Source organism: Homo sapiens, chromosome 1, assembly GCF_000001405.40.
Source record: "Homo sapiens chromosome 1, GRCh38.p14 Primary Assembly".
In the NCBI taxonomy this organism is placed as follows: domain Eukaryota; kingdom Metazoa; phylum Chordata; class Mammalia; order Primates; family Hominidae; genus Homo; species Homo sapiens.
The window spans coordinates 48,221,328-48,248,926 of NC_000001.11; the positions used below are offsets into that span (position 1 = coordinate 48,221,328).

The following is a 27,599-nucleotide window of genomic DNA, read 5'->3' on the forward strand; positions in this document are numbered from 1 at the left end:
CCCAGATCAATATCCCTCTCCTCGGGGCTCAGCCTGGCCAGTGCCTGATGTTCTGGGATAGGAGAACTGGGGAGAGAAGGCCTAGGACCCTGCCTCTCACTTTTCTTTCCACCAAAAGGGGAAAAAAGAGGATCTGGTCCTCACACCCAGCCTTGGGATACTTATAAGATGCTGGGGATAGGGTGTGGGACAGGGCCAGTGAGAGCTGGGGATGGGGTGTGGGACAGGGCCAGTGAGATCTGTTTTCCTGCTGCTCCAGTCTGGGCCCTACAGCAGATGCATGCAGAGTAATATTTGTAAGACTGAAATATTCCAAATGCAGCTACTTTGGAAGGACCATGTGAGCAGATATCTAAGTGCGTGGCATCTGGGCCCCTTGGCTAGATGGTGGTCGATGTTGGTTTCTTTGTGTTAACCCCAAGAACATTCAGTAGCTCAGGGTTTGCAGAGGTTCTCAGGAGCACATCTTAGCCTCATTGGTGGTGTGAGGCAGGCAGGGCACAGGTCACACTGATGAGGACACCCGGGCCCAGAGACATTTAGCAACCTGCCCAAGGGCATCTGTAGTTCAGTGAGAGGTGGAGCTGGGACTGAAATCTAGGCTGCCTGAGTCCCAGAGATGGTCTTCCCTGGACCCAGGGAGCACTGTATCTTTTTCAGGGAAGGCCTCCTGACCACAACCATTTCATCTGTCACAGTACAGAATAGGAAGTATGGGTCAGGCATCAGAAGATGTGAATTCTGGCTCTGCCTTTTCAGAGATGGCCCTGCCTAGTTCCTTGGAATAAATGATGATGTCTTCCCCAGCCTCAGTTTCCTACACTATATAAAAAGAGAAAGCAACATCTAGGTAGGTTGGAATGGGAGTACATGAGGTGGTGGCCACTTTGCTAGGGTCACAGTAGACTCCTCACCTCCTTCCCCTTGTCTTCCTCTCACTAGGTAAAAGACAATTGTATTGAACTCTTAAGAAAATTGGACTCCAGTCCCGGCTCCACCTTTACTTCCCTGGGCCTTGGTTTTCCCACCACACAGGAGTTTGAACACTTTGATTTCTGAAGTCCTTCCCACCTCTGGGGTTCCAATATTCTGCTCCTTTTCTCCTCTTCCTCCTCCCCCTCCTTTCTCCTCCTGCTCATCTGGGGTTAGGGAGATTGCGTGTATGTGTGTGCCTGTGTGTACACATGCATGTATGTGTGTGCACGTAGTGGCAGCAAGGAAGAGGAAGGAAGGAGTCCTGCAGGGGTTGGTGGTGGCAGTTGGGAGAAAAGGAGGCAGGACTGTATGTGCCAGCAGGGCTCAGAGTTTTCTCACCAACTAATGGTGCTTGGGGCAGTTTAATCATTAAAGGAAAGGAATGAAGCCAGGAGCGCCTCAAAGTCCAGCCTGCTGTTGACCAACACTAACAGATGAGCAAGGAGCTGGCAGCAATGGGGCCTGGAGCTTCAGGGGACGGGGTCAGGACTGAGACAGCTCCACACATAGCACTGGACTCCAGAGTTGGTCTGCACGCCTACGACATCAGCGTGGTGGTCATCTACTTTGTCTTCGTCATTGCTGTGGGGATCTGGGTAAGTGGGCCCTGAGGCTGGGGCTAGCAGGGGAGGTAGTAGTGGTCTCTCAGCTTGGGTGGGGCTGTGGAGCTGGGGCAGGGCTAGGCAGAAAGAAGCAGATCATAGAACCATGTGGCTGAGAAGGAAGGGCCTTCAGGAATCAGGCTCCTGATCTCCTCATTTTTAGAAGGGCAGAGAGGGGTGTGGCTGGTCTGAGGTCACACAGAGAGTCAGAGGCAGACCAGGCCCCCGACTCCTGACTCCTCTCTGAGCACCTGCTGCCTTTGGCCCCAACCATCCCTGGTTGCCCTGAGCCTCACTCCTTCCTTCTTCCCACCCCAAGGCCCCCAACTCTGAGAACTCTTGACCCCTGGCCCTACCTCAGTCCTGCATTCGTTAGCATCTTGGCTAAGGTGATTTCTAAATGAGAAGGGGCTCATGTGCTCTCAGGGAAGTGTGCCAGGCTTATTCCAAGGTTCCTCTGTTCTCCATTGTTCCCAGGAGCCTCAGTGCTAGAGGCAGGGGCCAGGCTTTGGGGTCAGGGAAACCTGAGTTCAGGTCCCAGCTGCAACAATGAGAGCCTCATGTCCCTGGGAACATATGAGGCCTATCAGCTTTCTCAGGTGAACAATGAGAATAAGGACTATGCTGTGATCATTCAGCAACAGGACATACTGCAGCACCTGGCACGGTGCCTGGTGCCCGATCAGCAGGCAATAAATGGCTGCTATTATCACCACGCATTCCACAGAAGTGTGAGCACCTTTAGACTCTGCTGTGATTCAAGTCCCAGATGGTCACTTCCTAGGCTGTGGCCAGGTCAGAGACCCTCTCTGAGCCTCAGTTTCCTCATCTATAAAGGGGGGTGAACAGTCCCTGCCTTCTAGTGCTGGTGTGAGGAAGAATTGGGCTAACAGATGGTCACTGGCTCCTGGAAGTGGCCAGCCGAGAAAAGCACCAACTCCTCTGTGACTTTGGACAAATTGCTTCCAATGTTGGGCCTCCATTTTCACATCTGTAAAATGGATCTGTTTTGCTCGTATGGCCTCCAAGAGGATCAGAGCTGACAAGGAAAATACAAGCAAAAGCTTAACAAGCACAAGGCCCCACACATATTTATCACTCCCTCGTGACTGATTATTTTCCCTTAGGGGAAAGTCAGAGAACTGTTGGCTTTTGCATCTGAATAGCTGCTTCAAGTTCATCCTTCCCTACCCACTGCCCTGCCCTCACCCTGTATCTCCAGAGAATATTCCAACAGGCTGCTAACTGACCACCTACTGGTGTAAGACAGGGAGGTCCTGGATGGGGCTCAGTGGCGTGATCTGATTTCAACCCAGGGCAAGGGAAACTCCAAAACAGTACCCATAACTCTACTCAGGGCTCAAAGTCTCACAGTCAAACTGCAGCCCTCTCTGTCCTCCCGCCTCCAGTGTGGGAGCTCAGCTGGGAGCAGGGAGGGGATCAGCTCAGAGAAAGGGTGAGCACTACACATCTAAGGAGGTGATAACAAATCATACTCTGAAAGCGCACTTTGGGGAGGGAAGGATAAGGGGACAAGAGTGCACAATCAATGGCTTCACACACGTGACATCCGTTACCTCCTTTGCTCTTCGCACTGGCCCTGGGAGATGAATGGCGAGGCTCACAGAGAAAGTGACTCTGCCAAGATACATCGCTTAGAAACTGTGGAACCAGCCTCAGGCAGCTCTCTTCTGCCTCAGTTTTCACCCTCTGTGTCCCCACAGTGCCTGCACCGAGGGGAAGGAAATCTGCGGGGAGGGGGCAGGGCAGAGGTTCAGAGAGTCTTGAGAAATCCTCATCTCATCTATTTCCTTTCCAGTCGTCCATCCGTGCAAGTCGAGGGACCATTGGCGGCTATTTCCTGGCCGGGAGGTCCATGAGCTGGTGGCCAGTGAGTTGACCCTTCTCAACCACCCCTAGTGCAGAGGCTCCCAACTTTCTTCCTCCCCACTATCCAAGCACTTGTCCCATCTTCTCACACCTGGACCAAGGCAAAGACCTCCCCGTTGTGTTTCCTGACTCTGGGCCCCTTCTCTCCCGCCCAAACCCGCCCCGCAACCTGAGTGGTCCTGCTAGCACGCACCTTGGACAAACATCCCCTGGCCCCTCCTAGGTGTGGCCCTACATCTGGCACTTGACTTGCAGTGATGAATCTGGAATGTCCCTGTCCTAGAGAAGCTCAGAGCTGAGTGGGGCAGATAGATTCATAAACATCATGCGCACTGCTGAGCCAGAGGGAAGCAGGGGGCACTCACCAGAGCTTGGAAGCCCCTGACCACCAGACAGTGGAGTCAGCTAGGGTTAGGAAAGATTTTGGGGGGAAGGTGACACATAAGCTTAATATTGAAGAACAGTTAAGTTAAGGGAATCACAGAGGTAAAATCCCCAGCAATCTCAGGGAATCGATCCCCAAAACTTTGTGAGCCACAGTTTCTCCCATCAAGCCACACCACATTTCTAAGTTAGGGGAATCACAGAGGTAAAATCCCCAAAAACCTCAGGGAATCGATCCCCAAACCTTCGTGAGCCACAATTTCTCCCATCAAGCCACCTCACATTTCTATTGGTCCTCAAAATTAACTTCCTCCTCCTGGAATGGGATGGAGGGAGGAAAGCCCTGCCTCAAAAATTACCAGTAGAGTCATCAGCCCCAGTGGTAGCTGAAGCAGTATACACACCCAGGCATGCAAAACTCACACACGGCATGTGTGCATACCCACTCCCACATGCACACTCTCACACACTGACACACAACACTCACACTCACATACAAAGGCACCCACACATGTTCATACATGCCCGCACTCATACATGCTTGCAAACTCATGCACACAATCATACTCCTATTCTCACACTCACACCTTCTCTCACGCACTCACACTCTCACTCTCATACACACTGTCACAATCACATACACTCACATGCAGTCTCACACTCATGCTCCTTTACATACTTACACGTGCACACTCAGACTCACACATTCATGCGCACTCACACCACCAGCCATCTTCACGCCTCTCCCCACCCTTCTCCTTCTCACCACCTTCCCCACTCTCTAGTGGTCACAGACTCATTAAAGAGTAGCAGAAACACAGGAGGCCTCCAGGGCTCTCTGGAAGGTTTAGGTATCTGGGACAGGAAGAAGTAGGAGCAGGGAGCTCTTGTCTGTCCAGCATGACAGAATCCCCAGGGATGGCGGGGAGCTGGGCCTTGCAGCTCAGGAACAGTGGCGGGGTCACTGGTGCTACAGCCACCTTCTCATCAGGAAAAAGGAAAAACCCTTCAAAATGGTTCTTTTCAGCTAGTGCCCCCCAAATCACAGCCCTGGAAATGAAGGAAAGGAGGAGAAAGAAGCAGGACAGAGCAGGTTCCTCTGACCACTTCAGGAGAAGCCCAGGGGCCCTGCTGATTGTCTGGTCAACCCACAGAGAGCCGAGCTCTGGCCCAACGATTAGTGTGAGGAACCTGAGGCCTCCAAACAAGAGGGAGGCCTTGGCAGGCACTCCCAGGTTCCCACTGCGCCCCAAACACAGAGCAGGCACCCAGTGGGAAAGAGAGGATGTGCTCCCCATCCTCTGGTGGGCCAGGCTGTGAGCTGTGCCTCCTGCACCTGAGACCTGGGTCCTGCCTGAGGCCAGAGTAAGAACCAGCTCTGGGTAGGGAAAGCTCAGTCCCACCAGCACTGCTGGAGTGTTTGTCTGGGCATCTGCCCTGCCCTGAGTCTGTGCCCCATGAACAGTGTGGGGCTTGGGAGGCTGAGAGCAGAAGGTGCAGTCGCCCGTCCTCTTCCAGAGAGGTCTGCATGGTCCTCCTCCCCATGCCTCCCCTGCTGATCTTGTTGATGTCTCCTGGGTTAGGAGCAGGAGAAGTGAGGTTAAAAACCCTGGGCTGGGTTGGGGTGGAGGTGCCTCACTGCTCCAAGAACTGCCTGGGGGAGGCTTCTTCCCCTGAAGTAGGAGGCCTTGGTGTTCTTTGCTCTGACTGGGTGGTTCAGCCCAGCCCTACCAGCACCCTGGGACCGCCTGAGAGAGGAAGAGTGAGTGTGTGTGTGAGTGCCTGTGTGAATTTGTTTCCATGTGTGAGTATGTATGCATGTGTGAATGTGGGCACTGTGTGTGTGCATGAGTGTGCTTGTGTGTGTGTGCTTTGCGAATGTATGTGCACGTGTGTGCATACCTGTGCGTGTGAGGGCATATGAGGACATGTGCATGTGTGTGAGTGTATGTGTGCGACGGTGCAAGTGCATGAGTGTGTGTGTCAGAGTGTGTGTGCGTGTGTGTGTGTACTGTGCCTGTGTGTGAGTGCATGTGTGTGTGCATGTGTGAGTGTGTGTGTACTGTGCCTGTGTGTGAGTGCATGTGTGTCAGAGTGTGTGTGTGTATGTGTGAGAGTGTGTGTGTACTGTGCCTGTGTGGGCGTGAGTGCATGTGTGTGTCAGAGTGTGTGTGTACTGTGCCTGTGTGTGATTGCATGTGTGAGAGTGTGTGTGTACTGTGCCTGTGTGGGCGTGAGTGCATGTGTGTCAGAGTGTGTGTGTGTGTATGTGTGAGAGAGTGTGTGTACTGTGCCTGTGTGGGCGTGAGTGCATGTGTGTGTCAGAGTGTGTGTAATTGCATGAGTGTGTGTGTACTGTGCCTGTGTGGGTGTGAGTGCATGTGTGTCAGAGTGTGTGTGTGTGTACTGTGCCTGTGTGTGTGATTGCATCTGTGTGTGCATGTGTGAGAGTGTGTGTGTACTGTGCCTGTGTGTGTGTGAGTGTACATGTGAGTGTGCATGTGCACATGTCAGAGGCGCTAGCACCAGGGCCTCAGCAATGTCAGGCCTGTTCCTCATTCTGTGCCTTTACACTGCTTACTGCCTTTGTCTGAATTTCTCAGTGCTTTTCCTCTCCTCTCACTTTCTCTCTCACAGCACCTCCGGAAGAACAGGAAGTTGGGCGGAAGTGAGTCCCACATTGTATAGGTGAAGAAGCTGAGGCGTTGATAGAGGAAGTGATTTTACTGTGGTGACATAGTATACAAAAAGGAACACGGCTCTGCCCCTAGCTGCCCCCAGCCCTCTCCCCGAGGTCTCCTTAAGCCTCCTCCCAGGCTCCAGAGCCCCTTCCTCTCCCCCTTCTCCCCTCCCAGTCAGAGATCCCATCTAATAATAAGAGAGAATATTGACCAAGTGCTCATTAAGTGGCAAGCACCATTTGTGTAGTGTTACTGGAGCCAGACAGCCAGGGATTGAATTCTCATTTGGTCACTTACTAGTTCTGAGACTTGGGCAAGTTACCTATCTGTGCCTCAGTTCACTCATGGGTAAGATGGGGATAAAAGTAGCACTGAGGGTTGTGGCGAGGATTAAATGAGTCCCCAAACTCAGAAGGCCAGCTGGTTCCTGGAGATGCTGCACAGGCCCTGACTGCCCTGATCATGCTCACCATCATCATTGCTCTCTACTGCCTCCAAGTGCTTGGCTGCGCCCCTGGAGAACTAACTCAGAGGTCGACCTGGCCTGTGCTCAGTCCCTCGGCTCCTCCCTCTGCCTGGCTATCCCTGGGGTGGTGGGAGGGCCTTTCCTTCCCTCCTGTGGGGCTTCCCTATCCCCTTCAGCTTCCTTCCTTTGGAGGCCCTCAGACCCATGGCCTCAGGGCGGAGGTCCACACTCCCCACTTCCAGGCTTCCTTCCCACTTTCCCTTTTTTCCCACTTCACCATTTACTCACTGGGTGACCTGGAGCCATGAATTCATCTTTCCTTACATTAGTTCCTTCCTCTGTAACCTGGGATGACTAATACCCCTCCCTGCGGATATCTGTGGAATTAAATGTATTTATGAATGCAGTGCCTGGCATACAGTGGGTACCCAACAAATATCAGCTCCTCACTACTCATGGTCCTCGCTCCAGATTCATTCAGATCACTCCTGACTCCTGACCCTTGACCCAACTGTGCCTTGCAGATTGGAGCATCTCTGATGTCCAGCAATGTGGGCAGTGGCTTGTTCATCGGCCTGGCTGGGACAGGGGCTGCCGGAGGCCTTGCCGTAGGTGGCTTCGAGTGGAACGTAAGGAAGCTGGCCTGGTTTCTCCAGAATACTGAGGGTCTAACCCACCTCTGTCTCTGGCATTAGTGCTGGGAGGATCCTTAGAGATGCCTGGGAGGCTACATGGTGAATCGAGAATCCATTTCACAATTGAGAATCCATTTCACAGATGAGGAAATCAAGGTCTGGAGGAGACAGAGGGATCCATCCAAGGTCACACGGGAGGACTGGGGTCAGGTCCCAGGTCTCTTATTTCTCTGTTCGGGGGCCTCCCACAGCACAGCACTGCCTCTGGGTGGGAAGCCGCCCCTCTGTCTACATCCAGGACCTGGATACCTTCTTCTTCTCCCCACTCTCCCAGGCAACCTGGCTGCTCCTGGCCCTTGGCTGGGTCTTCGTCCCTGTGTACATCGCAGCAGGTGTGGTCACAATGCCGCAGTATCTGAAGAAGCGATTTGGGGGCCAGAGGATCCAGGTGTACATGTCTGTCCTGTCTCTCATCCTCTACATCTTCACCAAGATCTCGGTAGGTGTCACTGCAATGTGGTCACTGTGTCTGGAAATGCTAATTAGGGAACTGCTGAGTGCATCACCATGTGCGTGTTGCTGAGGGGAAGCTGACAATCACTGTTGAAAAAAAGGAAAGCAGGACCTATAAACATTTAATGCATGTTCTGCCTCAGCACTGGGGTACTCAGAGATGAATGATAAATGTTTTTGGAGTGAATGACAGCCCCTACACTCAAATAAATCACAATCCAGAGTTCATTCATTTATTTTTTCATTAATGGATTCTTTGTTCATCAACTGTACATTAGTTGCCTAGATTTTTGGAGTTAGAAAGGTCTTTAGTCCTCCTCTACTGACCTAAAATCAGGAAACAAACCTAGACAGGTCAAATGACTTGCCCAAGCCCACACAGAGGGCTAGCTCTAGAACTGAAGCTGAAGTGTGGGTTCCATGACCCAGTCCAGGCTCCTTCCACTCTGTTATGTTTTAGACCCTGTAACAGGTTCACAAAACAATCATGGAATGGTATCCACAAGCATACACTAAAGAGAACTGAATCACTCCGTTGCCAGGTCTAGGGCTGAAAAACACTTTAAGGCCCTTGTTCCACCAATATTTGAGAACATCCTAAGTCAGCTTAAGCTCAGGCTATAAGCCCATGTCTGCTAATAAACCCAAGTATGTAGATGACCCAGACCCATGCCTATCTGCACCAGGGCTCCTGCCGCATTGGGTCAGCCGTGGGCCACCTGACAGCCAAGCAGGCTCTGCTCTGCCAGGGAGCAGCCAGCAACTCTCCGGTTCTTCCTCTCTTCTCCTAAATGAGCTCTTCTTCTCCAGCCCAGCACCTTCCTTCACTTCCTCAGCCTTCCACTTCATTCCTCACCACTCCCTTCATGTCCAGCAGACCAGCTACGTGATTAAATTTATCTCAGTTTGGAGGCTTTATACAGTACTTCTCTGCTTTAAAGTCTCCATGGCGCCTCAGTGTCTGCAAGATAAAACCCACACTCCTTAGCATAGCACTTAAAGCTCATTTTCATCATGTGATGAGGGCTGAGGGTGCCTGGTGTTGCTGGGCAGGCAGGTGATGTGTCCATACAACCCTACTGAGGGCCTCGGGTGGTCTGGCCTCTTGGGTCCTGGCTCTCTGCAGACTGACATCTTCTCTGGAGCCCTCTTCATCCAGATGGCATTGGGCTGGAACCTGTACCTCTCCACAGGGATCCTGCTGGTGGTGACTGCCGTCTACACCATTGCAGGTAGGCAGAGGGAAGAGGGCAAGAGGAAAGCTTCTGACTGGCAGAGACCCAGAGAGAAAGACTGAAGGAGAGACAACCAGAGAGAGAGACAGAGTGACAGAAAGCTGATGCTGACAGAGAGGAGAAACAGGAGAGGCAGAGACAAAGAGAGGCTGAGACAGAGACGTAGAAGAGAAGAACACAGGGGAACAGAATGACAGACACAGGGACAGAGACCAGGGGGATAAAAAGGGCAGAAATGGGAGGAGGAACAGGTCAGGCAGAGACAGGGAAGGAGAGACAGTAAGAAATACCACAAAAGACTAACTGCCTGGGGAGCAGGGTAGAGAGGAGGACTATGACCCAAGCCAGAGTCACTGCAGGCTGCCCCAGGCAGAGACCACAACCCACCTCCTCCAAATCTCCTTGCACAGGGCTGGGCACCCTGGGAGGCCAGCACAGGACAGCCTTACTTATGGTTAAGTTGGGGTCCAGAGACAGGGGGGCATTTAGATGGGCATTGGGAGGAGAAAGCAGGGAGTATTCCTGGCAGAACTGCAAGTCAAGGAATGGACTTGGGATATTAAACAATAACACAAAGCTGTGGTGTGATGGCCACAGTCAGCTGCTGTCAAGACAGAAAGAAGGGGCCCCAGCACCTTTGACTGTGACCAGCTGGCATCCTGCCGGGGAGGGAGAGAGGGGAACACTAGGTGCGGAGAAAGGCAGTGGCCAGAGTTCCCCTGCTAAGAGGGCTGTGTGTCTTCTCTGGTCTCCCCAGTGTGGCCATGCACAGGGCAGGCAGCCAGAGAGGACCCCAAACTGGTGCTGACTGATGAGCCCTCTCCTTGGGTCCCCAGGTGGCCTCATGGCCGTGATCTACACAGATGCTCTGCAGACGGTGATCATGGTAGGGGGAGCCCTGGTCCTCATGTTTCTGGGTAAGGAAGAGACCTAAATATACCCCACTGTCATTCTTAAATTCCTCTCTGTCCTGTCTCTGCCACCTCCACAGTTCGATTGAAACTTTCCAGTGCATAGAGCCATGTGAGCCATGTCCCCTCTCCAGGCTGCAGCTCCCAAAGAGCAGGGTTCTCGCTACTTCAAACCAAGGGTCTTGAGCCCAAGCCCCATCTTCCTCCTTCACCCCCAATCCCCATGCCAGTTCCAACCTGAGGGCCCACATGAGGCTGGGGCTGGGCTTGCTGAGTGACAGGCTCAGTGGGGTTTCAGGGCTGCTTCACTCACTGTCTCCTCACAGGCTTTCAGGACGTGGGCTGGTACCCAGGCCTGGAGCAGCGGTACAGGCAGGCCATCCCTAATGTCACAGTCCCCAACACCACCTGTCACCTCCCACGGCCCGATGCTTTCCACATTCTTCGGGACCCTGTGAGCGGGGACATCCCTTGGCCAGGTCTCATTTTCGGGCTCACAGTGCTGGCCACCTGGTGTTGGTGCACAGACCAGGTAATCCCCCAGCCAGGCTTAGCCCAGCCTGCCAGGAAGTGGGGTGGCTTCCTGCAGAAAAACCCAGTGCCTGGATGCATAGAGGGTTGGACCTCATTCTGGGATTGTGACTGGACTGGAGTAGGGACACAGTCATGCCCAGTGTCAGGGCTCACCTGTGGCTTAATGAGCCTCTCCTCTACCTGCGCTGCACTCCTCATTTGCTGCCCTTTCAGGTCATTGTGCAGCGGTCTCTCTCGGCCAAGAGTCTGTCTCATGCCAAGGGAGGCTCCGTGCTGGGGGGCTACCTGAAGATCCTCCCCATGTTCTTCATCGTCATGCCTGGCATGATCAGCCGGGCCCTGTTCCCAGGTAAGAACGAGCCTTGCTCTCTGGGTATTGGGATCTGAGGCTTTCAAGGAGTGTCTGGAGAATGGGAATGTGGCCCTGGACAATGTTAGGCCAGAGCAGGGGTTGGCAAGGTTTGTCTATTAAGAATACATAGCCGGTCATGGTGGCATGCACCCATAGACCCAGCTACTTGGAAGGCTGAGGATCCTGAGTCCAGGAGCTTGAGTCCAGGAGGTTGAGGCTGCAGTGAGCTGTGATTGCCCCACTGCATTCCAGTTTGGGAGACAGAGCAAGAGAAACCCTATTGAAAAGAAAGAAAAGTAAAGAAAAGAGAAGAGAAGAGAAAAGAGGGAGGGAGGAAGGAAGGAAGGGGAAAGGAAGAAAAGAAGAAGAAAGAAAAAGAAAAAGAAAGGAAGGAAGGAAGGAGAAGAAAGGAAGAAAAAGAAAGAAAGAAAAGAAGAAGAAGAAGAAAAAAAGGAGGAGGAGGAGGAAAGAAAAGGAAGGAAGGAAGGGGAAGGAAGGAAGGAACGAAGAGAGGGAGGGAGGGAGGGAGGGAAAGGAAAGAAAAAGAAAAGAAAAGAAAAAAGAAAAGAAAAGAAGGCCAGGCATGGTGGCTCACTCCTGTAATCCCAGAACTTTGGGAGGCTGAGATGGGCGAATCATGAGGTCAGGAGTTCGAGACCAGCCTAACCAACATGGTAAAACCCCGTCTCTACTAAAAATACAAAAATTAGCCGGGCGTGATGGCACATGCCTGTAATCCCAGCTATTCAGGAGGCTGAGGCAGGAGAATCACTTGAACCCAGGAGGTGGAGGTTGTAGTGAGCCAAGATTGCTCCATTGCACTCTAGCCTGAGTGACAGAGCGTGACTCCATCTCAAAAAAAAAAAAAAAAAAAAAAAAAAGATAGAAAAGAACACATAATAAGCAGTTTAGGCTTTGTGGGCCAAACATATGATAAGTATTTCAGTAGAAAAAATGTGAATCAGGTAATAAGTATACGGACGAGAAATTTACCAAAGACCCAGACACCATTTGCCCCCCAACCTTGTAGACATGGGTCCCTGTCAGAGTCTCCAGTGAACATTATCCTGTAGTTTTGGAAAGCAAATACTAGGCCAACCTGAGAAGGCACGAGATCACGGACTCTAACTGCCATTACTTCTTCCACAGACGAGGTGGGCTGCGTGGACCCTGATGTCTGCCAAAGAATCTGTGGGGCCCGAGTGGGATGTTCCAACATTGCCTACCCTAAGTTGGTCATGGCCCTCATGCCTGTTGGTGAGTCTCTTCTCCCCACCCCACCCTGCACTCTCACCTCCAGCCTCCTCCAATCTCCACTGCCCAGGAGGGAAGGCACTAACATGGATGGGAAGAGGGAAGAAAACTATTCACCTCTGCACCCCCATCCCAACACATACACACACGTTTTACAGGCATTTGTACGTAAGACACCAGCTTTGTGGGCAGGTTCTGGAGATGCAGAGATAAAAGGCAGGCCCCTGCTCAGGCATCATGCGGTCTCCAGGGTACCTGGACTTGCCACAGGCACAATCCAGTGGGACCAGTGTGGTGACCCAGTATGGGCTAAGGGAGCCCTAAGAAGGCACCTGACCCAGCTGGAGGATGTCTGGAATGTCTCCCAGAGGGAAGGAAATGGAGCTACATCCCGAGTTAAATCTTAGGCAGACACAGCCGGAGGAGCATGGGAAATGTCATTCTAGGGATGAGAAGCTGTGCGTGCAAAGGCCCAGGGTGAAGAGAGGGCAGGAAGTCTGAATTGAAAGCAGCCCAGTGTGGACGCAAGAGCCAGGAGGAAGGAAGACAACCTTCCTGGTGGGGATGTCACAGCCAAGCCTTGTTCTAGAGCAGAGCGCTGGGACACTGCGGGGTTTTGGTCAGAGAGAGCATGACTGGATTTGTGTTTTAGCAAGACCAGTCTGTGTGGACAACTCTGTACGAGGCAGGCTTGTGGGTAGGCAGGGAGATTGTCCATGGGGAGTTTGCAGTGGTCCAGGTAGGTGGACCAAGTCAGTGGCATCAGAGATGGAGAGAAGGGATTTAAAGATGTTTGTGAGGTTGAATTGACAGGACTTGATTTGAGGGATAATATAGACAGAGAAATCCAAGAAGCCTCCCAGATCTTGGCCTTTAGGTGGTGGGCTTATAATAATATTGAGATTAGGGACATATGAAGAGAGGTGGGATTATGGAGGGCAGCAGAGTAGAGTTATTCCCTCCCTGTGGTAGAAGGAGGAGTGAATCCGGGAAGTAGTGGCCATGGAGGGAGGCCCAGCTAGGACAGAGCTGCCCTGAGGGGCAGGTTGGAGGTAAGCAGGGAGGGGAGCAGAGCAAGGGTCTCAGGTAGCCCTAAGGTCTGCTGTGAGGCTGGAAAGACAATAACTAAAGAGGGGAACAGAAGGCCCCAGAGGGAGATGGGCACCTGAGTTTGGAGCACTTGAGCCTGAGGCACCTGTGACACTTCAAGGGAGAGAGGGGGACATCAGAAGGTGGTTAAATATATGGATTTGGAAGGAAAGAGGACTGAGGTGGCACCAGGGCTGGGATCATCTCCCCAGGGGTGAGCAGCCATATCTCTAGAAGCTTGGTCACTGTCAGAGAAACTTCAGATACCAGTGGGTCCCATCCTCCCTTGTTCAAGTGGAAAAATAGGCCCAGAAATGGCAAGGAGCTAGTCCAAGGATCATACATACAGCTGGTTACTTGCAGAGCCAGGAAATAAGCCCAAAGCTGCTACCTCCCAAGCCAGGGCTTTAGCCCAACACCACCATGTCAATGAAGAAGGTATGGAAACACTAAACAGATCCACCCAATTATTAATAATCACCTTTCTCTTCTCCCCAGCAGCAACCCACTAACCAAGTGTCTACAAGCTGTGAAACCTAGACTGAGATGTCGAAGCTTCAGAGAACCTTAGAGATTACCTAGTCTTACATAACTTAATAGGATAGATGAGGAAACTGAGGCTTAGGGTGGGGGGTGGAGGGGCAAATGAGTCACCCAAGGCCACATAGCAAGGCAGGGACAGAGCCTGGGCAGAACCCAGCCTCTAGTTCTGTGGTCTAGGATTTCTTATCTGTGCTGGATGGGAGCCTCATCCAACCCCTTCCCTCTCTCATCCCCACCCCCAGCTCCTGACTCTACAGAATGCTCCAGCAGCCTCTGTAGTCCTGGAAGAGCCGGCCTTAATGGGCCAGCCGTTCACATGAGCCTCGTCTCTCCCCAGGTCTGCGGGGGCTGATGATTGCCGTGATCATGGCCGCTCTCATGAGCTCACTCACCTCCATCTTCAACAGCAGCAGCACCCTGTTCACCATTGATGTGTGGCAGCGCTTCCGCAGGAAGTCAACAGAGCAGGAGCTGATGGTGGTGGGCAGGTGCGCCGGCCCCTCCTTCCCTCCTTCCGAAGTGCCCTCTCCCCTCTGCCCTGCCCTGGGTTACCCTGAACAGAGGTGGCTGGGTTGGACCCTGGACTGGCAGCCAGAGCACCGGGTTCAAGCTCCAGCTCTCCACATGATTTCAAGTAAGTCCTTCGCCAACCCTGGACCACTCCTCCTTTCAGAATAATAGGAAAAAACACCTCTTCCCTGGTAACTTTATCTTGAAATTGATCAACAGGGTTGTCGAGAGATGAAAAAGTACTTAAGAAATGAAAGGTAAACTGTGTAAGTGCATGGAAAGTTAGCAAGCAGCTCACCCAAGGTATTCCCAACCAACTCCGGATGTTAAGCCCGGTTAAAAAAAAATGCTATTAATTTGATCCATCAGATTCACTCTGAACATCTACTGTGCATCACATCCCACATGCAGGGGACCCACGGATGGGTCATATGGCCCTGCCCTCAGCGTGCTCACAGTTTATTAAGGAAGGTAGAAACACAGGTAACACAGCAAGGTATTTGCGTCAATGGAGATTTTCATAGGAGGGCTCTCTCCAAATGATGCAGAGCCTTGGACACCAAGCTAAGGAATTCGAACTTTATCTTGTGGGTAACAGTTTTATGCTTTTAAAAGCATAACTTGGTGGCTAAAATTTTTGGTTTTCCATAGGCTGGAGATTTGTAGTTTACATAAGGTTAAGGGGCCCTTTTTTAGATCTTTGCTTCATAATCGAAGGTTCCCTAACTTGGATTTCTGGACTAAAGTTCTCCCACTTTGTGGATAGGTACTTGAATTTAGGAAGCTTGCTCTTTCACATCTCCCTGCCTTTGCACTCACTGTTCTTTCCACTAGGATGCCTTCTGCCCAGGGCTGCCTAATGGATTCCTACTGCTTGCTCATCTGTGCACCCCCAGCCCTAGGCAAGGGGACTGGCCATTGCAGGATCTGAGTGCAGGACAGATTGTGCAAAGAGGAGGGGGATGAGCAGCAGGGAAGCTACTTGGGGGGCTGATGCTCTAGTGGAGTCTGAGAGAGGCAAAATGGGAGGAAAAGGAGAGGAGAAGACAGGTATGCAGTGACATGTCAAAAGAAGCATTCCTTATCTGTGCATATGAACTGGTTTTGCTACCATTTCCTCAATCAGTGAGGTTTGTGCTCTATCTACTGGTCATATGTGTTATTGCACCCAACACATCCAAGAAAAGTTTTTCATCAACAACTTCACACATCTGCAAAATCATACATGCAGAATGCTTTGGGGACTTAGGTCTGAGCCACAGTTTGTTGAGAAGGAGTCAGGTGAATAAGTGGGATTCTTTCCCAAGATCAATGCCACAGTAAGGGAGAGAGGATCAGCGCGTGGAGGAAGGAGCAGTCCCTGGAAGCTGCAGTCATCCTGGGAAAGAGCTGCCCTACACAGGGCAGGGATGGAAAAGAGAAGACATTCTAAGCAGAGACCAGAGGCCTTTGACTGGGGTGGGGGGTGGGGTGGAATGTATGAATTCCTCCTTGAACAGCAACAGGTGGGTGACATGACCTTGAAGCCGTCTAATATATAAGTGCCACGGAGGCATTAGAATTATAAGGTTCTTCAGTTCCAAAATTCCTATATTCTGGGATTTTAAGACTAAGTTTCTGAATCTTAGTATTTGAGATTCTGGCTGCCAACCTTCTCTGATCTAGTGATTGTACATTCCCCTTCTTTCTCCCTTCCTGGTTCCTGTGCATCACCTTCACCCCACACCACACCATGCCCACCCGAGTGTGCCTCAGTGCCCTGTGCTCTCTCTGGCAGAGTGTTTGTGGTGTTCCTGGTTGTCATCAGCATCCTCTGGATCCCCATCATCCAAAGCTCCAACAGTGGGCAGCTCTTCGACTACATCCAGGCTGTCACCAGTTACCTGGCCCCACCCATCACCGCTCTCTTCCTGCTGGCCATCTTCTGCAAGAGGGTCACAGAGCCCGTGAGTGCAGTGTACCTGTCTCTCACATACAGCAGAGGGGCTGGAGACCTGGTCTGTCAATCACCTGGTCTCTGTGACCTTGAGAAAATCCACTTCCCCTCTAGGCTTCCATTTTCCTGACCACAGCATCCAGCCTAGATTCATTCATTCACTCAACAAACATTTATCAGCCTTATAATGGCAGCTCCAGGGATGCAGTAGTTTACGAGATTCACATAGATGGGCCATCACTTGGCTGGCAGAGAGATAACTGAATAAACAATAGTTACAAAGTATGCTGGCTGGTGGGAGAGTAAAGGGCACAAGCACCTAACCTATGGGGCTCCTGGGAGGAGTCAGGTAAGACTTCCTGGATGAAGTGACATCTGAGCTGAGGCCTGAAGGATTAATGAGAGGGGGAAGAATGTTCCAGACACAAGGAACAGTGTGTGTGAACGTGCAAGAGAGACTGTAAGATCTCTAGGGTCTGTTCCATGTCTAACAATATAAGGTTCTATGTGTAAGCAAAATAACAGCAATGACAATGATGATGACAAAGTGTGACCTTACAAGGGCTCCTGCACTTGCATTATTCATGCAGTGCCACTGAAACCTGACAGAATCTGGGAGGAAGCTAGCGGTACCCCAGGGCTGGAGCCTTGGTTACTCCCCAGGATAGCCTAGAAGAGACAGGCTGGCTGTACCTTGAGAAGCTGAGGGATATCATGGACACCACTCCACAAAAATAATGTGAGAGCTCAAGGTCATTGAAAATGAGGTCATGGAACCCCCTCCCTTGATGGTGCACCTAAGCAAGTGTCTACTGTCTGCACAGGTCTCATCTCACTGACAACCATGCCGCACAGCAGTACCTGGCTGAACTCTGGGTGTTTCTGCTCATTCCAAAGTTTTTGAAATCAGGATCAGTATCTCCCATACTCTTACATGCTGGGAACAGGTACAGGTTAGGGCCAAATGGAGCTATAAAGAAGAAAGACATGAGAAGTACCAGAGCTTTTCTTAAAAACAACAGCAACTAAAGGAAAGTCTCTATTCTGATTTCTGATTTATCATGACAGAAGTTTGGGAAGGGGATCCTGGTATTCCCTGATTATTACAAAAGTTTATTCCATTTTAGTTGAATATTAACCATCTGTTAATTAACTTAGTACTGATTTAATTTTATGAATTTTTAAATTACTGCCCCCAATAAGAAAACTCTGAGTCAGCACGGCCGAGTCATTGGTTCAGTCAGTTCACAATGGAGCCAGGATTCAAATCTTAGTCTACCTGACTCTAGAGCCCCTATTCCACTGTGCCTTTAAGTCAAGACGAAGTCTCAGTATTAATGGAGAACTCATTTTCCCATTAGTAGATGGATTTGCCCAACATGGCAATAAACCAGTGGGAGAGAGATTTGGGGAGAGAGTAGTTTTACCTTCCTAGGGTCTCCCACCTGGATCTCACCTCAGCTCTTGTCTGCCCTCTCTCACAGGGAGCTTTCTGGGGCCTCGTGTTTGGCCTGGGAGTGGGGCTTCTGCGTATGATCCTGGAGTTCTCATACCCAGCGCCAGCCTGTGGGGAGGTGGACCGGAGGCCAGCAGTGCTGAAGGACTTCCACTACCTGTACTTTGCAATCCTCCTCTGCGGGCTCACTGCCATCGTCATTGTCATTGTCAGCCTCTGTACAACTCCCATCCCTGAGGAACAGGCAAGTGTTGTGCTCATACTGAGGCCCTCCAGAAATGCTCTCCCTTCCCCCATAGCCTAGAATTCCACTGCTGACTTTTACTCTGTTGGGTTATGGTCTCCCCTGTGGCCACACAGATGTCCTTGGGAGGGAAAGTGCCTTGGGCTATGAATTCCCCATTGAAAAGTAATTCATTCAACTCGAAAATTACTCAGTGAGTACTTACTATGTGCTAGGCACTGTGCTGGGCTTACAAAGATGAATGGTCCCTGCCAGAGACTATCCTCAGGGAGAAACAGACGCTGACACAAGCTATCACTATACAAAGAGAAAGTGCAGAAGGACCAAGCTCAACCAGAGGGGCCAAGAACAGAGGGAGAGGCAGTCACCTCCTGGGGGCCCAGGGAGGGCACACTGATGAGGACACTTTGAATTAGACCCTGAAGAATGAATAGAGAATTTTTGAGTGGGCAAGAAACAAATACAAGAGAAAAGAAACAGAGAGCTTACTAGGTGAAGAACTCAAATTGAAATCCTCCCCTGTCACAAGCAACGGCCCTTGAACACTTACAGCCTAGAGCTAGGGCTGCTGAAATAAAAGACCACCGATTGGGTGACTTAAGCAACAGAATGTATGATTTCACAGTTCCAGAAGTGAGAAGTCTGAGATCAAGGTGTCTGCAGCATTGGTTTCTTCCAAGGTTTTTCTCTGTGGCTTGTAAAAGACTGTCTTCTCCTCTTTGTCTTTACACGGTCTTCCCCTATGCCTGCCTGTGACTGAATCTCCTCTTCTTTTAAGTCATAATGGATTGGTGACCTCATTTAACCTTAATTTTCTGTAAAGACCCCATCTCCAAATATAGTCACATTCTGAGGTACTGGCGGTTAGGACTTCGACACAGAAATTTTGGGAGGACACAATTCAGCCCATAACAGAGCCCATGCTGGAAGACAGTCCCTGAAACACTGAGTGGACATCATGGATAATACTCTTTTGATGGATGGTGCTTTAGAGTTTGCAAGATGACTTTATACCCTTGGTTTCACTGATTCCTACAAAAAAGCAGGGCCTTTCCAGCCTGACTTCTCCAGTGGCTCACACCAGAAATGGGCCCCTTTTCCTGCCGAATCCTCAACCTCTTCTCCATTGCCTGTTTCCTCACTCTTCTTCCCGAAGTCTTCCCCAGTTGAAAATCCTTCCCTGAATCCTGTTATCCTCTAGTTCCTGCTGCCTCCCTCTCCTCCCTTCAACAGCAGACTTTTGCAAAGAATGGTTTCCTTTCCCAGCCTCCACTTCCCACCTCTTGTCTGCTTCTCAACCCGCTGCTGTCTGACTGTTGTCCCCAACATTCTGCTGAAATCGCTCTCACTGAAGTCACTGATAACATCTTATTGCTAAAATCAAAGGTCATGTTCCTGTCTTTAAGTGAATTCCCAAGAGAACTGGACACTACTGACCACTTCCTGCACCCCGAAGACCTCTCTTCTGTTCACTTCCATGAAATATTTCTCCCCTAGGTTTTGTTTTTTTGTTGTTTGTTTTGCCTACCCTTCCAATCACTCTTTTGACTTCTTCACAGGCTTCTCTATCTGCTCCTGAAATATCAGTGTTCCTTAGGAACCCATCTGTGGCCTATAACCTGTCTCACCCTACAACACCCCTGGGCTATAAATTCAACAACTTTCTATATAAAGGTGACCCTCAATTCTCTATCTACAGCCAAAACCCCTCTCCCAAGATTCAAACCCCAAAATCCAACTGTACCCTGGTGACATAAAGAGACACAGTCCATATGCTATTTGTGACACCCATTAGAAGTATTAGGTAAGGTTTATTGAGAGATACTTACAAGCAAGGAAGCTTCCCAGGCTCTCATGATCCCAGAGAGATGCATGCTTGGGCCCAGCACAGTGGAAAGTAAGAAGTTGGGAGCAGGATAAGGGATACCCAGCTCAACATGCACCAGAAAGCTGCCTTAGAGCTCAGGCAGTGGTGAGTCCAACATCACTGATATAAGGCAGAGAACTGCTGTGTTTTAGTTTACTGAGCCACCAAAAAGGAGAAGAGAGAAAGCCACCAGGGCCATCCAAGGAAGTAAAAGTTTCATTTCTCCTCACCTGAACATCTCCACTTGGAGGACCTGCAGACTCCTGAAGCACATCATCATATTTGTGTGTGTACATGTTCTCTCTCTCTCTCTCTCTCTCTCTTTCTCTATCTCTTTCTCTCTATCTCTATCCCTTCTTTCACCAGCACTAATACCCACTCCTTGTCCTGTGTTCTCTATTCCTGGGAAAGGCACCACTACATGTCTGGTCACCCAAGGCAGGAACCCTGGAGCCATATTAGCCTCTCCCATGTCCCTCACCTGGCTCTTTCAGTCAGTCATGGTGTCCTGATTTCACCTCCTTTACCCATTTCCTCAGGTGCCCATTATTTTTGGCTTCACTTTTACAACATCCTCCAGGCTGGACCCCTTTCAATTCACTCCAAGAGAACTTTGAAGATCCTGGCACTTACAGTCTATCTGCTGCTTAAAGTCTGCAGTGACTCTCCATTGCCTACAGGGTTTTTGTTCTTTAAGCTACGACTCCTCAGCCTGACCTTTGAAGACTTGTTCTCAAGTGCCTGCCTCCCTGTCCAGCCTCATTTGCCTCAGTCTGTAAAATCCATGAGGACAGGGCCCAGGTGTGTTTCAGGTCTGTATTCCAGCACCTAGCACAAGCCTGGGGTAGAGCACCTGGTGTAGAGCAGGAATTGCTCATATTTGAAGAAAGAGGAAGTCAGGGCTGAGATCCGGGCCTCCTGACTCCCAGCCCTGGCCTTGTTCTTTGTACTCTTTGCTTTTGCTCAGATGGCCTTCCATAAATGGGCCTCTGTTCTTCTACAGCATGACTTCTCTCCAAGGCAACTGACTCCAGTGTCTTCTTTCCCTCCAGCTCACACGCCTCACATGGTGGACTCGGAACTGCCCCCTCTCTGAGCTGGAGAAGGAGGCCCACGAGAGCACACCGGAGATATCCGAGAGGCCAGCCGGGGAGTGCCCTGCAGGAGGTGGAGCGGCAGAGAACTCGAGCCTGGGCCAGGAGCAGCCTGAAGGTAGGCTGCGGCAGGCCGGGGGATACTCATCACAGAGGAACAGGGGGGACAGACCTATGTCATGGGCGGTCTTTGGGATGGGGACTCTGAGGGAGCCCAATAAATATCACCCTAACTCCTTTCCCACGTGGCTACTGAACTATTTGAAAAATAAGACAAATGAGTCAGGCAGATTGGAGCCAAAATAGTGCCCTCATTACTGATCAAGTATAAGTGGAAAGAGTTGGTTTATATCTATAGGGAGATGCACTTCCTAATACTGAACCCCTGTATTCCACAGAGGTACCCATCCAGTCACCAGCAGATCTGATCGGGGCACAGAATAAAGAGGGCATGCTTGGCTCAGTCCTGTCCTTCCTGTAAAGAAGGGCATGGCTGAGCTAAGCATGTCCTCTTTATCCTTCCCAAATCTACCAGCACGGAAGTCCCTTCACCTCCCCTAGGTTGAATGAGTACAAGGGCAGAAAATCAAAGAATGTTACACCCACGGTGTTTCCTCCACAATGAAGGAAACATGAGGCATGACAAAGAAACCCCTTACCCATGTCCCCCCCACCACTTTTCTTTATTATTTATTTATCTCCCCCTGGGCTCAACAAGTCTGCCTATAGTAATACAGAAGCGTGGTTGTCCCTCATGGGATGAGAGCAGCCATGCCTCCATACAGTTGTTTCTGTTTTCATGAGGTTCCTACAAAACACCCTCCCATACCTCTGGGTGTCTCCTCGAGCGGCTGATGGGCCATATGACATATGGAGTGCACCCCTGGAGGTTCCTACATGTGTTAGAAGATTATGTCAGTTAAATCTACTCCAAGGCCACACAGTATCTAAAGTTGAAAATTATTTTAAGACATGATTTGAGGTACCTGTGTTAGTCACAATGCAGCTATAACCTTCCTGGAGTGAAATGAAATACCAACATCAAAACATTCTGATTATAGAGTGAAAATATTATAAAGATTTTTTCAATTATAGAATTCCCAAGGAAAATGTTAAACTCTATAAAGCTCTACCTGGGTGACAAAATAATCTGTATGCCAAATCCCAGTGACATGCAATTTACCTATATAACAAACCTGCACACGTATCCCTGAAACTAAAATAAAAGTAAAAGAAAAAAAAAGGCGTCCCAGGAAAATAAATAAATAAATAAATAAATTCCAAAAAGTTAAATAAGTTTGCAAATTAAAGTCCAAAATTAATCTCTCTTGCCCTTGTGAATTAAAAATTCAGACACTTAATTCTTAAATTTATTTTCTGCCTCAGTGAAAGAAAGTCTTAATACAAGTAGATGAATAAGACATTGTCTCTGTCCCCAAGGAGGTGAGAATCTCTTGGAGGCAAACAGGTAGTGCAAAGATGTAGGGTTTACACCAAAATGGATAAAAATGTCAATAACGTAGTAATATTCGGCTTTTAAACACAATGGTATGTCATTGTTTATAACGTCCAGGCAGAGAAATAAAATGCATCTTCATGTGAAAAAACAGTAAAATCATTAAGATTTTTTTTAAAAAGAGGTCTCAGTGCCTGGACGGAGTTAGGGTTCCCTCAGCAGCTGCAGCTGCTTTCTCTCATTGGATTGGCCATAGCTCTAGTTTTATACCAGCCTCTTGTGTGCCAAACTTTAAATAATTCTAGAGAGCTAAGAGCACAGACAGGATTAGCAAAGCATCACTTGCTGCACCAGCATGGCTGGCAATGCCATGCCACTCAGTTCTCGTGACTTTGCCAGGTTTTAGGGGCCCTATACTTTCCTCCAGACCTGAGAAGGCTCCCACCTTTCTTGAGGCCCTTCACCTTTGCTTAAGGCCTTGATTCTAGAGAAACAGCCACTTGCCTAGAGCTAATGACATCATAAGCCCCAGAATCCCACCAAGGTCTAAGGCTCAAAGCTTCTTCCCACGATTCAGCAGTTAAAAGCCAATAATCCAGTATAAAAAGCTATTCATAATGATGGATATAATTTTTTCCAAACTTTCATGGTTAAAACCCACATAGGCTCACTTCAGAAGACACTACCGAAGATCAACATCACCCTGCCTGGTCTTATCAGTTGCCCCAATTACTTCATGGTATATTTTGCTTTGCAAATATATATATATATAAAATATATAATATATATAAATTATATTTATATTATATATAAATTATATTTATATTATATATAAATTATATTTATATTATATATAAATTATATTTATATTATATATATAAATTATATATATAAAACCTGTGTGTGTGTATGTATGTGTATGTGTATATATATATATATATATATATATATATATAAAACCTCTGTCTCAGAAGGTTGCCAAGGGAATCAAAAGACAGAATATTTGGAACAGCTTAGAAAATGATAAAGCCTAGTACAAATGAAATGCTGAATTCATATTATCGTTAGTGCAGTTCTGTTGCTATGTGACCTTAAATAAGTCTCTTCCTTTTCCTGAGACTTTTATATATATATATATATATAAAACTGCTCCCCCATCATCATTGCAAAGACTGGGTCCTGAGCCTTGTAAAACTTACGGTATTGAAGAAAGCAATCTGAGAGCATGAGCTTTTGTAGATGAGGCAACTGCCAAGAGAAGGAGGAAGGAAGAAGGGGCAAAGCTGCAAAGGAAGTTCCCAAAGAGAAAGAGGAAGGAGACAGCTTGTACTTTCCCACGGCTGAAACCCAGAACTAGACAGACTTACACAGAGTTACACAAATGGACCTACTCCCCAGCTGGTCCCCATGCCAAGGGACAGAGTAGTCCCTGGAGAAGCCAAGAGAAATGCCTGCTCCCTGTGGACAACTTGCTTCCAAGCAAGAAAAAGGAGGCACCAAGTCAGCCAAGAAGTCTAATGAGAGAAACCTACCCCCCTTCACAGACCACCACCATGAGGAAGTAGAAGGGTAGGGAAAGGCTGGTGCCATTATACTCTAAAGCTCCTTCCCTGCCCAGAGAAACAAACATCAGGAATATGGAAGAGGCACCCCCTCTCCAAAGGCCTGCAGGTAGGCATAGTATAATGTTGAGTCCTGAAAAGAAAAGTTAAAAATATTTAAAGGAGGCTGGCACAGTGGCTCACACCTGTCATCCCAGCACTTTGGGAGGCCAAGACAGGGGGATTGCTTGAACTCAGGAGTCAAGACCAGCCTGGGCAACATGGCAAAACCCCATATCTACAAAAAATACAAAAATTAGCAGGGCGTGGTGGTGCACACCTGTGGTCATAGCTGCTCAGGAGGCTGAGATGGGAGGACTGCTTGAGCCCAGGAGGTTGAGGCTACAGTGAGCCATGAATGTGCCACTGTACTCCAGCCTGGGCAACAGAGTGAGACCCTGTCTCAAAATATATATATAATATATAAAATATATATTTTTAAATATGAAAAATATTTAAAGGACAGCAGAGTAGATCTGAAAGAAATATGTACATCCCAGTTTTTAGATACGAATTTATTGAGTTATGGCACACCACTTAATAACTCCTTTAGTGACATAGGCTCTCCGGGCATATGAATTTAAATATGAAGCTCTGTGCATCCTCTGTCTCAGAAGGTTGCCAAGGGAATCAAAAGAGAGAATGTTTGGAACAGCTTGGAAAATGATAAAGCCTAGTACAAACGAAATGCTGAATTCCTATTATCGTTAGTGCAGTTCTGTTGCTATGTGACCTTAAATAAGTCTCTTCCCTTTCCTGAGACTTTTTTCTCCTCTGTGCAATCAGGGAGCCAGACCAGATGGCATCCAAGGTTCTTGCATCTCTGACACCCTGTGTATTGAACTTACCAGCTACCACATTCTAAACCCATTAAAATAATAAAGCAATCATTCCCAGTACATTCTTTTCAATCTCAGTGAAAGGATTTTTATATTAATTTTATTTGTAATATAATGTCTGCTGATTTTTAAAAAACTTAAAAATATTTACCTTATTACTTCTTTTGAATTTAGTTTTTAGTGAATTGTGCTACCTTTTAACCTCAGAGCAGGCCCCTTTCTCACCCCAAGGAAGCCCGTGTCTGCATGGGTTCGGTCTCGTGCACATTTAGCATATCATATACACCAGAACCTCTCCCACTGCTCCAGTACTGGTAACTTTTAAAGTGCTGTCCAATTTCCATCCTCATTTGGTAGTCAGAACAACCTGGAGAAGAATGGGGCATATGTCATTGATACATTTGAGACAGAAAGAACCTCCAGCTCAGAGAAGCTGAGTGATTTGCATATGGCCTCACAGTCAGCTAATGGCAGAGCTGGCCCTGGAACCAGGTTTCTGGCTTGCAGCCCAGTGCCCTTTCCAATTGTGGTTGTAGCAGTCTGTCTGGTTCAAACACTTCCTTCTTCCTGGGTGAGATAATGCTCCTTCCTTCTTCCCTTATTCAGGACTTGTGCTATGAATTGGGATGAATTGCATTATCCTGCCACCTTAATACACCATCCCCTCTTGAAGAAAGTGGTGCTTCCACTACATGACTGTTTGGGTGCTGTGGCCAAGATCAGAACGTAGTCTAGAGTACCAGCTCAGCACCCAGTCTGTGGTTTGCAGAAAGTACAAGTCTATGGCTTCACCCCTCCCCAGTTTCTGTGCACCCCCCATACTTTCCATCAGTATCTCACCATCTCTCTCCCTCCCCTACTCTCCTATCACTTTCCTTTCTCCAATCTTCTTTGCCTCTCCCCTCCTGCTCTCCTTTGTCTTCTGGCTTTGTCCCTCCAGCCCCAAGCAGGTCCTGGGGAAAGTTGCTCTGGAGCTGGTTCTGTGGGCTCTCTGGAACACCGGAGCAGGCCCTGAGCCCAGCAGAGAAGGCTGCGCTAGAACAGAAGCTGACAAGCATTGAGGAGGAGCCACTCTGGAGACATGTCTGCAACATCAATGCTGTCCTTTTGCTGGCCATCAACATCTTCCTCTGGGGCTATTTTGCGTGATTCCACAGACCTGGCTTCAGTGTAGACAGATTAAACAAAGCCCAAGCCTGTCAGCCACAGAAACAGGCTCTCCTCTTACTTTGCTGTCTAAACTGGAGATCACAGAAGTCAAGACTGCAAGCTCCCCTGAAGAGAATCCAACTCAACCTGCACACTTGACAAGTGGAGAAACAGAAGCCCAGAGAGAGCACTGGGTTTGTTCAGGACCACCCAGAAGGTGTCACACGGGGTTTCCCCACTCTTTCTGATATATTGCCTTACAGACCTACCTCAAACACACTGTTTCCACCCTCTTCTTGAATGTATTCAGTAGCCTTTACTGAATGTGTGTCTTGAGAGTAGAAAAATGGAGGATACAAGAAAAGGAGCAGGAAGAAATTTGCAAAAATCCAAGAGCACCTTTGCTCCCCCTTATCCTCCTTCCTCTTCCCCTTTCTAGTTCCCCTACCTCTCTATCTTTCTATTCTCACCAATAATCTCTTTGTTGCATGAATTTACCCAGGAGAGTCCTATATTTCCATTGGTGGCTCCACAGTGGTGGCTGTCAGACCCGAAGGGGTGGGGAGCCAAGGGTGGACTTTAAGCATGGTGACAGATGGTATTTTGGGCAGAAAGCTCTTAGACAATGGACTATCCAAAGCACTATTTAAATTCTGCCTCTTCCTACTCTCTAACCCAAATATGCACAAACTCTCTATGGCCTTGAGAAGCAGTTGGAGAGACATGACTTGTTAAAACCTCAAGGAATCAAGACATGTTACTCTGTATTTAAGGGTAAGCCCCACAGCGGGCAGCACAAACAGCCTGGGAGCCACTGTGCCTGTGCTTCTCTGTCCTTCTCCCTTTGCTTGCCATGAATCCGCATACCTTGGAATACACTGTGACCCCAGTTAAGTGTCCCTTCGCCAGGAAGCTGCCGCAACGTCCAGACCTGGGTCAAGTTCCCACTCCTGCTCCCATAGCCTTGACCTGCTTCTGTCACAGCACTGATCACACTGAGATGGAAGACTCCAGGGGGCAAGGACCAAGGGCCATATCCCAAGTGACTTTGTACCCAGAAAATAACAGCTGTTCAATAAATGTGTATTGAGTTAATTAGTTCTCCATGGTCCTGGTAGACTTTGTGCTGCAGCTGGCTGGGTAGTGACTTGGAGTGTTAGCTGTTAGGGGTGAGTCTCCTTCACTTGGAGTTTAAGTAACTGAGTCTCAGACACCTAGAGTGGGATCACAGCCCCAGCCTACTGACAGACACCAGGTGAGGGCGTGCCTTTCTTCTATCTCCCAGTCAAGGCTGCCTCTACTCTCATCCATTTACACTGACCAGTAATTACAACTGGATACAAATAAAATTCTATGTTTTTGAGGTGTAGACACAGCAGACTC

At 49.1% G+C, this 27,599-nt stretch overlaps 1 protein-coding gene across 11 annotated transcripts, besides 1 other annotated feature; it reads left to right on the top strand.

Moving 5' to 3' along the window:
• Positions 1 to 1,388: 1,388 nt before the first annotated feature.
• On the top strand, positions 1,389 to 27,311 carry SLC5A9 (solute carrier family 5 member 9). 11 transcript variants are annotated; one of them, NM_001135181.2, is made up of 15 exons: positions 1,389 to 1,571; positions 3,397 to 3,468; positions 7,523 to 7,627; positions 7,776 to 7,850; positions 7,968 to 8,132; positions 9,273 to 9,378; positions 10,218 to 10,298; positions 10,619 to 10,824; positions 11,040 to 11,175; positions 12,328 to 12,435; positions 14,402 to 14,552; positions 16,352 to 16,520; positions 17,995 to 18,210; positions 21,130 to 21,289; positions 26,008 to 27,311. In NM_001135181.2, the coding sequence occupies exons 1-15, from the start codon at positions 1,410 to 1,412 to the stop codon at positions 26,214 to 26,216; spliced, it is 2,121 nt and encodes a 706-aa protein (NP_001128653.1). In that variant the 5' UTR covers positions 1,389 to 1,409; the 3' UTR covers positions 26,217 to 27,311. The 11 variants fall into 11 exon arrangements, with proteins under 11 accessions (NP_001128653.1, XP_047304541.1, XP_047304539.1 ...); XM_047448585.1 differs by having other exon boundaries at positions 10,619 to 10,746; XM_047448583.1 differs by having other exon boundaries at positions 7,776 to 8,132.
• Positions 10,246 to 10,747: an enhancer, noted in NCBI's record as "H3K4me1 hESC enhancer chr1:48697245-48697746 (GRCh37/hg19 assembly coordinates)". NCBI's record gives its function as "activates a minimal SCP1, AML or CMV promoter by ChIP-STARR-seq in primed H9 embryonic stem cells {active_cell/tissue: H9 hESC(primed)}" and the evidence as "EXISTENCE:reporter gene assay evidence [ECO:0000049][PMID:30033119]".
• Positions 27,312 to 27,599: the final 288 nt, after the last annotated feature.